This window comes from Homo sapiens, chromosome 3 (assembly GCF_000001405.40).
Source record: "Homo sapiens chromosome 3, GRCh38.p14 Primary Assembly".
Lineage (NCBI taxonomy): Eukaryota > Metazoa > Chordata > Mammalia > Primates > Hominidae > Homo > Homo sapiens.
In genome coordinates this window covers 64,688,827-64,706,557 of record NC_000003.12, presented here as the reverse complement: position 1 = coordinate 64,706,557, position 17,731 = coordinate 64,688,827, and the positions used below count along the sequence as shown (strand labels likewise).

Here is a 17,731-nt window from a genome sequence, read left to right as displayed (position 1 = left end):
CATCATTTAGAAAAATGCATATCAAAACCAAAGTGAGGTACCATTTCATACTCACTAGGATTGCTATTTTTTGAAAATGGAAAATAAAAAGTGTTGGAGAGAATGTAGAGATATTGGGACCCTCGAACATTTCTGGTGGGAATTTAAAATATATCAGCCATGTGGAAAACAGTTTGGTGGTTCCTTAAACAGTTAAACTTACAATTACCATATCACCCAGTAATTCCACTCCTCGACACACACACAAAAGGATTGAAATCAGGGAGTCCAAACAGATATGTGTACACAAATGTTCATCACAGCACTATTCACAGTAGCCAAAATAATAGCCCAAATGTCCATCTTGAATGAATGGATGAACAAATTGTGGTATGTTCATACAATGGAATATTATTCAGCCATCAAAAGGAATAAAGTACATGCTACAATATAGATCAACCTTGAAAACATGGTATATGAAAAAAGCTAGACACAAAAGGCCACGTATTGTATGATTCCATTTCTATGGAATGTCCAGAATAGGTAAGCCCATAGAGGCAGAATGCAGATTGGTGTTTGCCAGGGGCTGGGGAAAGAGAGAAATGGGAAGCAACTGCTTAGTGTGTGCAGGGTTTCTTTTTGGGATAATTAAGAAGTTTTGGAACGAGGTAGAGGTGGTGGTTATACAACATTGTGAATGTGCTAAATGCTAATGATTCACTTAAAAATGGTTAATTTTATGCTATGGGAATCTCATCTTGATAAAAAAGTAATAAAAAAGAAAAACAATATTGTAGGGGTAATTTGATTAGAAGTAGTTTTTAAAAGCATTATATCACCATTCATATATAATATGTGTGTGTTTGTGTGTGTGTGTGTGTTATCTATGTATTATGTGTATTGTTTTTGATTTGGGGTAAATATTTACATACCTCCTAAAAAGAATAAAAATAGTTCAGTCTGAAAGTAACAATTCTCAGAAAGTGTTAACATGTTCCATATGGAGACAGTGCCCATGATCACGCATCCCTTGACAATACCACCTTGGATATAAAGTGATTGGCAACTGGCTGTTGTCCGTCTCAGAAGTCTCAATTCTGTCGTTTCATCAACCTCAATTTAATGCAGCGCTGCTTTTTATGCAGCTGAATTTTCAGGACCACATTTATTATATTTTAGCAGGATTTACTTGTAGTACCTTTAGAAAATATCCTCATTAATTCTTTTTTTTTTTTTTTTTTTTTTTTGAGACGGAGTCTCGCTCTGTTGCCCGGGCTGGAGTGTAATGGTACAATCTCGGCTCACTGCGACCTCTACTACCTGGGTTCAAGCAGTTCTCCCTCAGCCTCCCAAGTAGCTGGGACTACAGGTACGCACCACCACGCCCAGCTAAGTTTTGTATTGTTAATACAGACTGGGTTTCACCATGTTGGCCAGGCTGGTCTCAAACTCCTGACCTCAGGTGACCCGCCTACCTTGGCCTTCCAAAGTGCTGGGATTACAGGCATGAGCCACCATGCCTGGCCTAATTCTTTTATTATAAATTTTCTAGCATAAAACATAAGCCTAGTATAATTCCTTTTGGAAATCCATATAAGAATGAAAATTAAAAAACAAAATCCATTATTCTATTACCTAGAATAAAAGTGTTAAATTTTGGTTTTATACACATGTGAGCATACTTACACAAACAGTTAAATAGATGCATTTTTGGCAACAAATAGTATTAGGATGTACATGCTGTATACTTTTCACTGAATATTATGAACAATTTCCTCTGTCATTAAATATTCCAAAATTGCTTTTTTAATATATAGCTGTACCATAATTTATGAAGAACCTCTATTTTAGTTTTTTAATTTTTAATTTTTTAATTTAATTTAATTTTCATTTTAAGTTCCAGGATACATGTGCAGGATGTGCAGGTTTGTTAGATAGGTAAACATGTGCCATGGTGGTTTGCTGCATCTATCAACCCATCACCTAGGCATTAAGCCCCACACACATTAGCTATTTTTCCTGACACTCTCCCTTCTACCACTATCCCCCACAACAGGCTCCAGTGTGTGTTGTTCCCCTCCCTGTGTCAATGTGCTCTCATTGTGGAACCTCTATTTTATACGTCTAGTTTTTGTTTTGTTTTGTTTTGTTTTTTTGAGACGGAGTCTTGTTCTGTCGCTAGGCTGGAGTTCAGTGGCGCAATCTCGGCTCACTGCAACCTCCGCCTCCCAGGTTCAGATGATTCTGCTGCCTCAGCCTCCTGAGTAGCTGGGACTACAGTCACGTGCCACCACGACCAGCTAATTTTTGTATTTTCAGTAGGGACAGGGTTTCACCGTGCTGGCCAGGATGGTCTCGATCTCTTGACCTCGTGATCCACCCGCCTCGGCCTTATGTGTCTAGTTTTTTCCCAATATTTCTGCAGTCCAGGCCTTCAGTGTGCTCCATTATAGCCATACATTCACTGCAAGGTTACATTCTTAAAAATAAATTCTTAGGACCAGAAATATGTATTCAAAAAGAAAATTTGGAAGCTTTTGACATGTTTTGACCAACTACCTTCTTGTTATGTTGTCTGAATTTACCCTTCCAATAGTACTTTGTGAGTTTATACCATCATTCCACAACCTTGGCAAAATCGGGGGTTTCTTGCCCAAAGTATTATTTTATATATATTTAAAATTTTATTTTTGATGTGACAATACATAATATGGTTCAAATATCAAAGGAACCACTGGGTATACAGGAGAAAGTTTCTCCTGCCCATGTATACCATCCCCCTCTGGGACAAACAAATATTCAGTTCCTTGTACAACCTAGAATAATTTCTGCACTCATAAGTACAGTAGTCTAAACACACTGCTCTGAACCTGATATTTTCCACTTATCTAAGATATAGTCCACTTATCTACAGATCTTGAACACAGAGAGCTTCTTCATTCTTTTTTATAGAAGCACACTTTTCTATTGTTAAATGTCATATACTTAACCAGTCCCCTTTTCATTGGTTAAGGCATTTAGGTTGCCTTTAACCTATTGCCATTCATACACTGTAGCTGTGAATTACCTTGTAAATATATCACTTTGTCCATGGACAAGTGTGTGTGTGTGTGTGTGTGTGTGCGCCTGAGTACATGCGCATGTGTCTATGTTGAATTTCTGAGTTACTAGGTTCAAGGATTTTTAAAATGTTTTTGTTCATTTTATCAAAAGGGGAATGAGGGAGAGAAAGAAAGAAGGAGACAGAAGAGAAAACATTAGAAAATTTAGTGGGTCTGGTGGTATTAAATGGTGGGAAATGTCAGATATTTTTCCTAAATTGCACAGTTCTGAAGTTTCTGGTTTTCTTTCACTATTCTCTCTTGTCTGTTTAACTGTTTGGAAATTTCAAAAGATTAGGGGCAAGAAAAGGCATGGGTGCTAACAAACAAATAGCAGAGCTGCCTCCAATCCTACAAGAGCTGTTTTACCATCAGCTGAATTCTGATAAGAAAGAGCAAAGGCCTCAGAACAGAGAGAGCTAAGCCTTTAAGCCCTGGACGTGAGGTTACACACTTCATATCTTCAGAAATGTGAAATGAAAATATGTTTAGAGATGGAAAATAATTTTCCAAAGATAAGATCAACCACAACATAAAGGATCAAAATTTCAAAACCTCAGTTACTTGCTTCTATTTGACAGTGATTTTTCTTTTTCTGGAAAAAGTTGATTTGATTTATGTTAAATAAATCCTAAAAACAACATGCAAAGTGCACAAATCATAATTGTATAGCTTAATGACTTTTCACAAAGTGAACACATACATGCAACCACCACTCCAATCAAGTAACAGAACATGACCAGCATCCCATTAGCTTCCATTATTCCCTCCCAAACAACTACCCCTGCAAAGTAACCACTTTCTATCACTATCATTTAATTCTGTCTGTTTTATAACATTACATAAAGGGAAAATGTAGGATGTATTTTTCTGTTTGATTTCTTTTGCTCAACATTATACAGAATTCATTCATGATTTTATTTTTCTCTTTCTTTTGTGTGGCTGCGTTCATTCCACAAATACTTACTGAGCAGGTACTATATGCCAGGTGCTATGCTAGCCACTGGAGATACAATGCCAATGATACAGATAAGGTCCTTGCTCATCTAGAACTTACACATGCAGAGATTGTCTTCCCACTCTGAAAATGAATACTTGAGAATTTAAAAGTCATTGCTTTCCAGGGAGACAACTGAGGTTTCTCAATACAGGTAGCTCCAAGCTATTCATCTTTCTAAAAAGTCAAAAGTATATTCAGACTAAAGTCAGCTTCAGTGAATTTCTTTACCTTTACTTACAGAATCTTCCAGCATCATTTACCTGCTGTATAAAGGCAGAGGAATGCAACACATAAATCTCGGTTACATTTTCAGAGCTGCATTCAGTGCAGCCCCCTGACTAAATAACTGTAATATGTCTGCCAGTCAAGACTCTGGGGAAAGGATGATGTCTGTATCTTTGAAATGCTATGTTAAAGACACTTTTTTTTTTGCAGACAGATTCACAGAAGAGTAATGGCTAAGCAATGTTTTCATTTTTTCTTCTTTCTTTAAATTATAGTTTTTGCCCTATTTCGGTTTAGGAAAAGGATTGGGAGATACATTCCTTCTGGTCAGTGAAGACTTTGAATTAACCCAGAAATCAGAAGGGGATATAAGTTGCATTATTTCAGAACCCCAAACAAAGTCAAAAATTCTAGTGTATACATACATTAACTTTAGAGTTGATAGGTGTTATTGACATTTGTAAGCAATGTTTAAAAGTTTAAATTAGTACAACATTGAGGTAGTTCAATATACGCATTAATCCTAAAGGCTTAACAATTTTAAGAGCATTACCAAAAAATCTAAAATGCTTTTACCTATCCTCCACAAACTTGTCCCCTCTTCCATTCACCAGATAAGAATTGGGAGTACATCCTTCTAGACCTTTTTTATATCTTTATACACAAACACATACATGTTTAAGTTGTTTTTCCTATAAACGATATACCTATCATAGTGCAACTTGGTTTTTTTCCCATTGACAATATTTTTTGAGATCTTGAAAGTTGATGTCTACCTGGTTCACTCTCTTTTGAACTGCTGTATAGTGTTCCACTATATGAACATGCCATTTTATATAATGTAGCCATTCTTTGAGGACAGGTAGGCTCCAGATTTTCACTCTTACAAGCAATGCTATGAATATCCTTGACATGAGTCCTTGAGCATATGAGAAAGTATCCCTCTAGGACACACATCAAGAAGTGGACTGATTATGCCATCACTTCTTTAGAGAATGTCTTGGCCCTTAACACTAAGGAAGCTCTTGAAGGCTGCATAGGTCTTATTTGTATCTGTGTCACCAGAACCCAGTGTAGATGGGTGGGAGTTAATGACTGCCTTCCATGACACCAGAGTATAGGTCCCAGGTTTCCCAATATCTCTCCACTTCTCAATCTCTTGGTTGGTCCCTTTTTTGCCTACTAGTCATTTAGAAGGCAGACATCCTAAAGCCTTTGTTCTTGGCCTTCTCTCATTTCTCTGGCATCTTTCCCTAGGTCCGAAGCTCTCAGTTCAAGCTGCATATCAGACTTAATGAGAGAGCTTCTGAATATTACTAGTGCCCAGGCCCGGTCTCCAGAGGTTCTTACTTAGCTGGTCTGCAGTGGAGTGGGTACCACATAATCACATTGTTTTTCCTCAAGACTCTCCGTGTTATATTAATGTGAGGCTAGAATGGAGAATCACTGCCCTAGGCTGATGGTTCCCCTAGTGGGGCCCCCAATCAGCAGTATCCATATCCCCTCAGAATTGTTAGAATTGCAGACTCTTGGACCCTACTCCAGACCAACTGAATCAGATATCTGGAGGATAGGGCTGTACAACCTATGTTATAACAAGCCCATCAGATATTTCTGATGCATGCCAAATAAAGTTTGAGAACCACTGCCTAGGGTGATCTGATGCATTCCCCCTGACTTTGTAACCATGCAGAAAACTCCTTTTTTCTCACCTCCAACCTAGACTCCTCTCCTGGACACCAACTGCCTCACTGACATTCTACTGCAATGTCTCTCCAGTATCTCCACCCTATTCCCACCTTATCAAACTTTTTTTTCCCTCAGTCTTCTCCAACCCAGTGAATGTCACCATCCTCCAAGCTGCTGGAAGCAGAAACTTGGAGTTCATTTTTAAGATATTTAAAAATAGATAATGCATTTAGGAAGCTTAAAACCAAGAAGGTACAAAAAGGTGAACAACGGCAGTCTCCCTCCTACTCTTATCCCCTGCTATGGACTGAATTGTGTTTCCCACAGAATTCATATGTTGGAATAAATTCTAACCACCTAACTCCCAACGTGACTCCATGTGGAGATAGGGCCTTTAAGGAGGTAATGAGATTAAACTAGATCATAAGAGTGGGGCCAGAATCCAATATTAGTGTCCTTATAAGAAGATGAAGAGCTAGAGAGGAAAGGCCATATGAGGGCACACAAAAAGGTGTCTGTCTGCAAGCCAAAGAGAGAGGCCTCAGAAGAAATCAACTCTGCCAGCCCTTTGATAGTAGACTTGGCCCCAGAACTGCGAGAAAATAAATTTCTGTTGCTTAAGCCACTTAGTCAGTGATATTTATTTTGTTATGGTAGCCTGTGATGGTTAATTTTAATGTGTCAACTTGACTGGGCCACAGGGTGCCCAGATATTTGCTCAAACATTGTCATGGGTGTTTCTGTGAGAATATTTTTGGATGAAATTAACATTTAAATAAGTAGATTGAATAAATCAGATTGCACTCCTTAATGTGGATGAGCCTCACCTAATGAGGACTGAATAGAACAAAAAGGCTGAGCCTTCTGCAAGTAAGAGAATTATTCCCACCTGACAGCTTTCAAACTGAAACATTGGCTTTTTTATACCTTGGGACTCAAATGAAACATCATTTCTTCCTGGGTCTCCAGCCTGCCAGCCTTCAGATGGGAACTACATCTTTAGCTCTCCTGGATCTCAGGCCTTTGGATCCAAAATGGTGCTATACAATCAGCTCTGCTGAGTCTCTAGCTTGCCAATTCACCCAGCAGGTTTAGGGACTTTCCATCCTTCCTAATCATGTGAGTCAATTGCTTATAATAAGTCATATATACACACATACACATACATACACATATAAGTGTGTATATATATATGTGTGTGTGTATGTGTGTACACACATACATTCTGTTGGCTCTGTTTCTTTGGAGAACCCTGACTAATCCATAATGTACAACCTTAGCAAATTAATGCATACCCCGTCTTCCCAATTCCCCATCATCCGCACACAGTAACCACTATCCTTAGTTTCTTACACATTCTTTCAGAGTTTCTTTAGAATATAAACACAAATAAAATTATGTAATACTATTTTCTCCAGTTTTTACATATATATACATGCTTTTTGCAGATGCATTATATTTCATTGTCTGCAAATATCTTTATTTGTTAAATCAGTCTGCTATAGCTTAGGTTTTCATTGTTTTTGACATTAGAAATGATACTGCAGTGAGGAAGCTTGGGCATGCCATTTTCCACACATGCAAATATATCTGATATATAAAATGTAGGCTGCTGGGTCAAAGGGTATATGATTTTGCAGTTTTGATAAATGTCAAATTGCCTCCTTAGAAGTTATATCAACTTACTCACTCAACAATGCGTAAGAGTTCCCCCAAAGCCTCAGTAATTGACTGTGTTTATCAAACTTTATAGTTTGCCTATCTGATTACTGAAAAGCTCACATTGGTATAGTTTTATGAGCACCTTTTCACAAATTTCTACTGTTTGTATTTCCTTTCTTGTGAGCTATCAATTGGTATCCCTTGTAGGTTCTTATTGTATATCGAAGGAAAAATCTCTCTTTGTGCTATGAGATCAAAATATTTTTTCCTCAGCTTGTCATTTAACTTTCAATTTTGATTATGATGTGCTATGGTTTGAATGCGTCCATCAAAAAGCATATGTTGGAAACTTAATTCGTAATGCAAAAGCACCGGGAGATGGGGCCTAATGAAAGGGGATTAGGTCATGAGGACAGGGAGAATCAATTAATGCTGTTATCAAGGGAGTGGGTTCATTATAAAAGGGAGCAGTTTAATCTCCCTTCTCTTTCTCTGTCTCTCTTTCCCTCTCTTGCCCTTCTGCCATGTGATGACACAGCAAGAAGGCCCTCTCAAGACGCCAGCACCTTAATATTGGACTTACCAGTCTCCAGAACTATAAGCCAATAAATTCCCGTTCACTATACATTACCCACTCTGTGGTATTCTATTACAGCAACACAAAATGGGCCAAGACATAATGTTTCTTATCATGCAGAATTTGTTTGTTTTATAATACAGTTAAATATTTCATTTTTTTTCTTTTACGGCTTGTGGATTTTGAGTCATAGTTAGAAGGCCTTCTTTATGCCACAGATATAATTATTCCTTCCTATTTCCTTCTAGATCAGTTTTGGTTTAATTTTTTACATTTATTTATTGATCCATTTGATATGGATCAAGTGTGTACTTAAAGTATTAAGTATAGCTTCAACTTTATGATTATTTGTGTGAGTGTGTGTTTTATCAGATGGCTACCAAGTCATTTCTGGCAGTGTATATTGGGTAGCCTAGACTTTCCCAATCAGTTTGAGAAGCCATCTCTATCAGAAACTAAATTCTCACAGTTACATCTCTTTCTGGATTTTCTACTTTCTCCCATTGGGTTTTCTGTCCATTTACAATCCAGTATCACCCTATTTATTTATTGTAGCTTTAAATTATTAATATCTGGCATTAATACTAGATTTTCCATACTGCTCTTCATTTTCAAAGTTTTTTGAGATGTTTTTGTTTATCTTCCCAAATAAAATTTTGGATTAATTAGTCTCATTCAAACAAAACGAAATAACAGAAATAAATTATTGGCATTTTTATTTCTAGTCATTTTATAAACTATCTCAGAAAGAACAGGCATCTTTGTGATATCCAGTCATCCTAAGACTATGGTGTCTTTCAATTTACTCACAGCTCCTCTGAGGTCTTCATTAGCGTTGTAAAACATAATTCATATAGGCCATGCAGGTTTCTTGTCATTTCTATTCCCAGTGATTTTGTTGCTGTTGTTTATGGAAATTTTATTATTTTATATTCTTTAGCTGGGTGTTATTTGTATATAGGAGAGAGCAATATCTGCATATAATTTTGGAACTCATTCTTGATACTCCCTTACTTTCATCCCCATCATAACATCCTTCATCTTGTCCTATTAATCCTACCTTTAACATACACTTTTCATGTATCCAATTCTTGCCACCCCTACTAACAAATACCACCCTAAGTTCAAGCCACTTCGATTTCTCATCTGGATAGCAGAATAGCCTCCTCGACTCTGTTCTCCACACAGCAGCCAGAGTGATCTTTTAAAAATAACAAAAAGGGCATCTTGCCATGCCCCTGCCTAAAATATTTCCATGACACTCCTTCTCCTCTAAATAAAATCAGATTCCTTACCTTAAAGGCCCTATATCAGCTGGCTCCTGGCTCTCTCTCAATTCCATTCTTTTGTCTGTTTCTTTATTTTGTAAATTTAAAAACTTTTTTTAATTTTTAATTTTTATGGTTACATAACAGTTGTAAATATTTATGGGGTACATGTGATGTTTTGAGACAAGCATACACTGTAACGATTAAATCATGGTAGTTGGAGTAGTTATCACCTCAAACATTTATCATTTCTTTGTGTTAGGAACGTTCCAATTCCACTCGTTAGGTTATTTTGAAGTATACCCCAACCCCATTCTAAATCATCTCCTCCACATTCATAGAACCCTAGGTGCAAGGGCTTCTTGGGTTCTGAAAAACTCCACCTTCTTTCCTAGCTCAGACCTGGCCCTGCTGTTCTCTCCGCCGGGAATATTTTTCCTGCTATTCTTTTAGGGCCTGGCTGCTTCTTTTTTTTTTTTTTTTTTTTTTTTTGAGACGGAGTCTCGCTCTGTCGCCCAGGCTGGAGTGCAGTGGCGGGGTCTCGGCTCACTGCAAGCTCCGCCTCCCGGGTTCACGCCATTCTCCTGCCTCAGCCTCCCAAGTAGCTTGGACTACAGGGGCCCGCCACTACGCCCGGCTAATTTTTTGTATTTTTAGTAGAGACGGGGTTTCACCGTTTTTAGCCGGGATGGTCTCGATCTCCTGACCTCGTGATCCGCCCGCCTCGGCCTCCCAAAGTGCTGGGATTACAGGCGTGAGCCACCGCGCCCGGCCGGCTGCTTCTTATTCTCCTTCTTATTCTCTGGGTTGCAATTTGTTTATCACTTCTCAAAGAGGTTTTCTCTGTTCATCTGATCTACACTATCTCTCTTTTCATTTCTTTTACAATACTTAGCACAATATTTAATTATATACTTGTTCATGTATTAGCTTATTTCCTGCTTCTCTTCCCCACTAGCTGTGAATACCTCTGCTATCTGCAAAGTGCATAGCAGGTGGTAGGTGTTTGAATAATGTATTTATTGAAAGAAGAAACAAATGTCTTTCTTGTTTACTAGTCAAGGGCTGGGAAAGCTTATACATTTTTTCCTGTTATCCAGCTATTATTCTCCATTCATGTCTTAAATCCAGGGTTACTGTATATCCAATACTTGTATTTCTAAGTCACAAATTTCCCTCAAAAGCCTGACTCAACCATCATAAATCTCTTCCTTGTATTTGTTCTCATATATGCAAAATATATAAGGTTATTTTCAAGTAATGAAACACGTTGAATATTACAGAAAAAGCTAGGCCTATATATAACTTATGAGAAAAGTTTTCCCTAAGAGTGGTGATACTATCATATATATTTGTTATATATCATCTGTATATTTACAAAGAAAAACATAGTTTTTCTCATTAAAAATATACTATATTCTTGTTGTAAAAATAATCAAACAATATAAACATTGGCACCACTGAAATGTAGAAAGTGTAAAATATCTCCAAAATTCTTACTCCAGAGAGAACCATTGGTGACGGGTGAATGCATATCCACCTTTCTAGACATTTTTTCTCTGTATATCATATTTTAAGCACAGGCTGAGATTTTGTTGTTGCTATTTTATTTCATTTTTACTACAGGAGGACCCAATTAGACTAACACTATGAGACTTGCTTGCTGAATAATACATTTTGGACATATTTATATGCTAAACATATGGTTCTTCCCTTTTTTTTTTTGTTTAACAAGTGCCTGATGTTTCATTTATTTACTGTCTCTGGATGGTTCCTTTCCCTTTTCACCTGGTCAGTGTGGAGGAGAGGGTCTCAAATTTTGTCAGGTTTCTCTTTTTTTTTTTTTTTTTTGAGACCTCTGCCACTCCTTGATGCAGGGACCAAAGTCACCAGTCAGAGAACAAGTCATTTCTCTACCTCAGCCACCATTTTGTTCTAAAAGGTAACATAGAACAAATGTTAAGTTTTCCAAAGTCCAGATTTATGATCAGAGTTAATGAGCTGAATAATCAGCTGTAAGAAACACTGATTAAAAACATTTACATGAGTTAATTTGTGTTACTGACTTTAACTAGAATGTAGGCACCCTCACCATGCTGGTGAGGGTGCCTAAAAGAAAACCATACTTCCAAACTCTCGCTTTAGTAACTGTACCGCTTACAAAGAGCCCAACAGTAGCTGAAGTTTATTACCGTTATGTTGCTGTGAATGCCACCAATATGTACTGTCAGACTTGTTTTGGGTGAAAAAAACAACTGCAAAACCAATTTTTTTTCTAACATCTGATAGGGACTTGATGAAGCGCTAATTGCTAGGTTTACATTTCAGGAAACAACTTATTTTATGTTATGGATGCTAATTAATCCAAAGGCAGTACATGGCAAATACAGTATTTACAACTAGCATTGATGTGATGCCCCAAAACCTCATTACCAGGTCGAGTTGTCACATGCAACACATCTACTTTTTTGTACATTTCAAATGTATGCACATTAGTTTGGATAATGAAGGTATTATTTCCTGCTCCCAGCCCCTTGCCATTGTGTTCCGTAGTCACAGTAGTTGAGATTATTTTGAAAAGTTTTCTGAAAATCTTTGTAGTGGGCCCCCAAATTAGCTCATCATGGGGAATTCAAATCCTACACCACTTTTGCAACTACAAGACAGGCCTCTTTGCCATATGCTATTTTTAGAGCAGGGCCCACAGCACAGCCTGAACAATACAAAGCCTTGGGCTGAGCTGAGGGCAATGGGAGTTTGTGAGAATGGTTGTGGCAATGAGACCAATGAAGAAGAATAGTGCTCCCAAGGGCCAGTCTAATTGTTAGGCGAATGAGTGGTTTGGGATGCTGGGAAGACATTCTCCTCAACTCCAGTTGTCCTGATATCCAGAATCCCACATCTGTGAATGACTCCCTAAACCATACCCCCTTTTGGCCTCCTGGTCCCCAACTGTCCTGATACCTGAATTTCTACTAATGTCTGAATTTCCACTCTTTGAGACTACATCCCTAAGCACGACAATTTATCCTATATTAAGCTTGATAAAACATAAATACATATGAGAGTCAGTGTCACGTAGCAATTTAAGAGGGCAGGCTCTGAAATCCAACAGCCTAGCACTCAACTCCCACTCAGCTGCATATTGGCTGTGCAACCTCAGGCAAGTTACTTATCTTCTCTGTGCCTTCATTTCCTCCAGAAAGTAGGACTAATGACATTACCTGTTTCAGGGGTTTGTCAGGGGGACTGAATATGGTATTATCCACTGTTCCTGAAAGTAAGCATTAAGATAAATACCATTAGGACAGACTTATTAAGCATCATCTGGCAGAAGTGCTTACTTTTGAAAATTACTTTTTTGCATGTGTAAAAATTATTTGTCGTGTAAAAATCTTTTTTGTTGGTGTTTTTTAATATTCAGAGGGAAAATTATGTTTTGGCTATTTGAAAAATTCTGCCAGAAAAAAAGCCCAGTACTTGAGAAAATGCTAAATTAAATCTATATAAACTACTAACCCAAGCAGACTGTAGGGAGTAAATCTGTTTAAAACATTAAACATTTTGTAGAGGGATGAAGGGCTAACAGTAAAGATGAGTATGAAAAAATACATACCCATTTGCACACAAATGGCTGTTTTTGTTTTTGTTTTTTTTCTTTTCTAGGGGAGAAAGGCCCATAAATTGGTTATGGAGTGGGGTTGTGGGGAGGTTAACTGAGAAAGGAAAGCTAGTCTGCTAGCGGCTCTCTGGGTCAGGAGTCAGGAACCACTCTTCCTTGACTAGTGGGTGGGTTCACATAAGCCCGCTGATTTGAACATTCTTACTTCCTGTATGCCAGGCACTAAGCCAACACTTTCATTGATCAAGTCATTTTCATAACATCCCTATGAGGCAGGAAACCATTATTACCTTCTCTTTAGGACCCGCAAAGGATACCAAAACTGCCCACAGCATAGGTGTAACTCTTACTTGCTGTGCTCAGCAATTAAGGGAGGCCCTGTGCCTTGTTACTCATGATCCTGAAGTACCCACTGGGGAAAGCCTAGCTCTGGAAATGTCTCATTCCAGAAAAAAGGAATCATGATGATTCTGATTAAAGCAGGACTTGCCTCCTAAGAGTAATAATAATACAGTAAGAAACAGAAATTACTTCAATCATTCCTGGTGTGTGTGTGTGTGTGTGTGTGTGTGTGTGTGTAAAAGAATGGCTTTTCTAAATTAAAAACAAAAAACCTGGCTCTGAAAACTAGAACCAAATTAGCGGCAACAGTAAGCTCATTTAAGGTATATTTGTGAAGTGCCTACTATGTAACCATGGAGAAAATAGATTTGTCCTTTGCCCTTGTGTACCTTAAAGACTAACAAAGGACACCAAAACACAACAACACATGTGAACCAAACTAGGAAAGGGAAAATTCTGGACTCAGGGAGCATAAAGCACTCTGGCATGACTCAAAATACTCCTAGAGTTATCAGATTCCCCGCTAGTTAAAGATGCCATATATTTAACAATTGTCTACATCAAATGTGCACTTTTAGAGAATAATAAAATTGTATTTGCACACATTGTGTTGCTAATTTGGCTGCAGTTTGGAAGTAGTTTGGATCAAAGCTAGAAGCCTAGCACTTCTGAATTCCATTTGTAGTTATGATGTTGAACCCCAGGTGTGAAGCTCTCATTTCAAGGATAGTAGAGGGAGGAGAAAAAGGATTTGAAGCCCTAAGAATACAGTCAAAGGAAAGATTAGTGGGATGCATATGGAGTTTTAAAGCCTGAGCAATAATGTGAGTATGGTCTTCTAGAATGACAAGTCAACAAGGAGCTCCTGCTGAGTGAACAGGCTGAAGATCGGATCACCTTCGTAGAACTGCTATAAGCTGGTCATGAGCTATACAGAGCCACCTCCAAAGTGGAACTATGACTTTCAGAGTAGGGTCAAGAAAAGCTAGTTAGAACTTTAGATTTAGCATTAGAAGAAAAAATGATGTTCTCACAGATGGTATTCATCAGGCCAAATATAAATGCTGAATGATGAAGATCAATTAGGCGACAGTCTTTATGTTACTAGGCTGCTCTGATTAATGGAGATCACAAGCTTTGGAGGTAACTGGACCCCAGTGTAAATCCCAACTGCACATTCTGACTCCATAATGCCAGGCAAAGTCACTTTAATTTTGCTGGGTCTTATTTTCATTGTAAGTAAAATGAGGAGGGTAAAACCCAGATGGCAGGATAGCTATGAGGATTGAATAATTAGCACAAAGAACTCAATGAAGGGAATCTACTGTTATTATCAATAATGATACAAACTACTTTCTCTACAGTACCTGTTGCTTGAAGTCAGTAGTTAGAAGACTTTTAAAAAATACACTAAGGTCATTCACTCACAGGGCAAACAAAGACAACACAGTTTCTACCTGCTGCAGTCTGCAAATAGGAAACCGGATCAGAGAGGACATAGTACACATGGTCTGGTACATAGTAAGTACTCAAGAAAAGATTCTCATTATTATTATTCAGACAAAAGATTGGAACCCAAATTATTTAGTTAGCACAATTGTCCTTTTCATTTCTTGTCATGTAAAACACATCTCCCTAAGATTCTTTAGGCCCAAGGTCACAGAGCTCAGCCAGCACCAGGTCCCAGCTTGGTGATTCACTGACCAGAATGCAGTGCTACCAAGTACCAGGGGCTTATCTGTTCCCCAAATCACCTGACGCTGCTGACCACTCAGGAAACTATTCACTTGAATTCTGGCTCCTGGGCCCTCCCTACCATTTGGGTGTGGGTTTCCCCTTTCTGTGGAAATTGATGGCTTTGCTTCAAGTCTCCTTCCTGCTGTTTCCAGTGGCATTAGGCAAACAGAGTCATTTGTGATGTCATCACTGTCATTTCCATTGGCCGGATTATCTCTCCCTAGTGACTAATATCATTCATCACTCCTCTGGGATCTAATTTTCATGACGAATCAGCCAATGAATACTTCCACTTAACCTACAATACCATTCAATTCCAGTAAAGTCCCACGAAGAAAACGGGCTAAAAACTGTCCCTCCTTTAACTCCAGGTGACCTTGAAAAGGTTTGCTTCTTTCAGAGCAAATTTTTATGAGGGGCCAATTTATTTTATTTCATTTTATTATTTCTTTTCTCTTTTTTTGTAGAGACAAGGGGTTGCTATGTTGCCAAGGCTGGTCTTGAACCGCTGAACTGACCTCATGCAATCCTCCCACCTCAACCTTCCAAAGTGCTAGGATTACAGGTGTGAGCCACCATGCCTAGTCTTAATAAATACTTATTGACTACCTACTATGTGCCAGATCTCTTCTAACTGCTGAGGGAAAAGCTGTGAAATATCAATGAAATCGCTGACATGATTTTCATTAAATACTTTGCATGAGAAGAATAAGAGAGAGCTAAAGAAAAGTTATACATGCAATAAAAGCTTGAGGCAATTCTCTGAATGATTTTAGCCATTTTCCCACAAAGCAACCCTCCAAAAATCTAGCAGTGCTTCTGATTAATCAGTTATTCATGACATATGATAATAGTTATGAACTTGGATTGAACGACTGAAACGGAGTTTGAATCGTGTCTCTCACTTACTGGATTGAGGGGGGTCAAATTATTTCACTTATTCAGATCTCGGTATCCTTATTGGTAAAATGAGATTACTGACACTGACTTCCTGAAAGAGCTGTTTTGAGAATTAAATTAAATGCTATATGTTACCCCATGGTAAGTACTGAATAAGAGTACTTATTTAGACAAAGAGTAATTATTCAGACAAAAGATTTTTGCCTGACTTGCTTAGTTAGCTCAACTGTCTTTTTCATGTCTCACGATTTAAAAGACATTTTCCTAAGATTCTTTAAGACTTTTTTACAGATGTAAATGCAGAAGCCAGCTAATACACTGAAGAAAAGATGGGTAGACTCACTAAGGATGAGAAATTCATAAACCTAGGTTCTTGGTCACCTCAGGAGTTCACCAAGAGATATTTTGTATCTTTCTGGCCTATCAGCTCTTGTGGATCAATTTTTTAAAACTGTAGACAAAGTTCATTCTTCAAGCAAAGTCCTAGAAAGAAAGCAAAGGAGAGAGAGTACACAAAGGAGGCTTCTGTCCCTACATATCGTAATTTCTATACCATTAGTTAACTTCTCTTTGTCAGGAAGGATTTGAACTGAAAGAGAAAAAAAGATTTAATGGGAAATACTGGAAAGTGCTATATTTTTGAGTAATTTTACAATGGAAGTACTGGAATATTTTCCACAGGAATCAGCCAATAGATTGATTTCTTGATATTTTTCTGTTCCTTACTAAATTTTCAGCAACTCCCAGACACTGTGATTGTGGGGAATGTTGTTATAATAAAAAGAAAGATTGTGTATTAGAAGAAACGTATTTTAGTGAATTAATTTGGAGGTTCAAGGTTTAAATGCCATTCTCTAAAAATCTCTAATTGTGCACAATACAGATGTTATTTTTCCATCCTTACATTTTACATATCCATTATGAAATTCCAGTAATAAGACGATGGTAACATTATCAATTTGGGTTAACAATTATTTAGCAAATTCGTCTTGCCAAGTCATTTTTACCCTTCACCAGAAGAAATATATGTATTAGTATCTCAAGAATAGTTGACATTGCTAGCATATTGCGATTTGGTTCCTGGTGTTGGCAATCTTTGGTATTTCTAGTCCTGAGTGCTAACCTACCACGCAACAGAACCTCAACCCCCGTTCTAGGATACTTGGGCAAATATATATTTATTAGTCATATATTTATATATTTTTAACGATATTGTCATGTCTTTCCTCTTGAAATTATCTTGAAATTCTATCTTCCTGAGGGCTGGTTAAAGAAAAGGCGCCACTGAACCACCCAAGATTGAACAATTCACACACACACACACACACACACACACACACACACACACGAAGGTGTAGCTTGAAGCGCCTGCTTTCAGTCTTTCCCAGTCTTTCCAAGCATCTCTCAGGCTGAAAGCAAGCGGAAGTGATTGAGAAATCCCTCCAGGGACTGGTGCCTCCCACAGGGATCTACAACTTTACACTCCATCCCCCCTTCCCCTCCCATCTCTAAACCCCCTGGTAGTGAGGGGCGCCAGAGTCCCCGCCCCTTCTTGCTGCCAAAATTTGTTCTTAACCTTTTTTGGGGCAGGGGACCTACAGAATGCTATGGACCCTCCATGAATGGTGA

The 17,731-nt window shown here is 38.1% G+C and overlaps 1 long non-coding RNA gene across 1 annotated transcript in view; it reads right to left on the bottom strand.

The window, feature by feature from the left end:
* ADAMTS9-AS2 (ADAMTS9 antisense RNA 2) overlaps positions 1 to 17,731 on the bottom strand; it is a 326,599-nt gene that overhangs the window by 304,911 nt on the left and 3,957 nt on the right. The window lies entirely within an intron of this gene.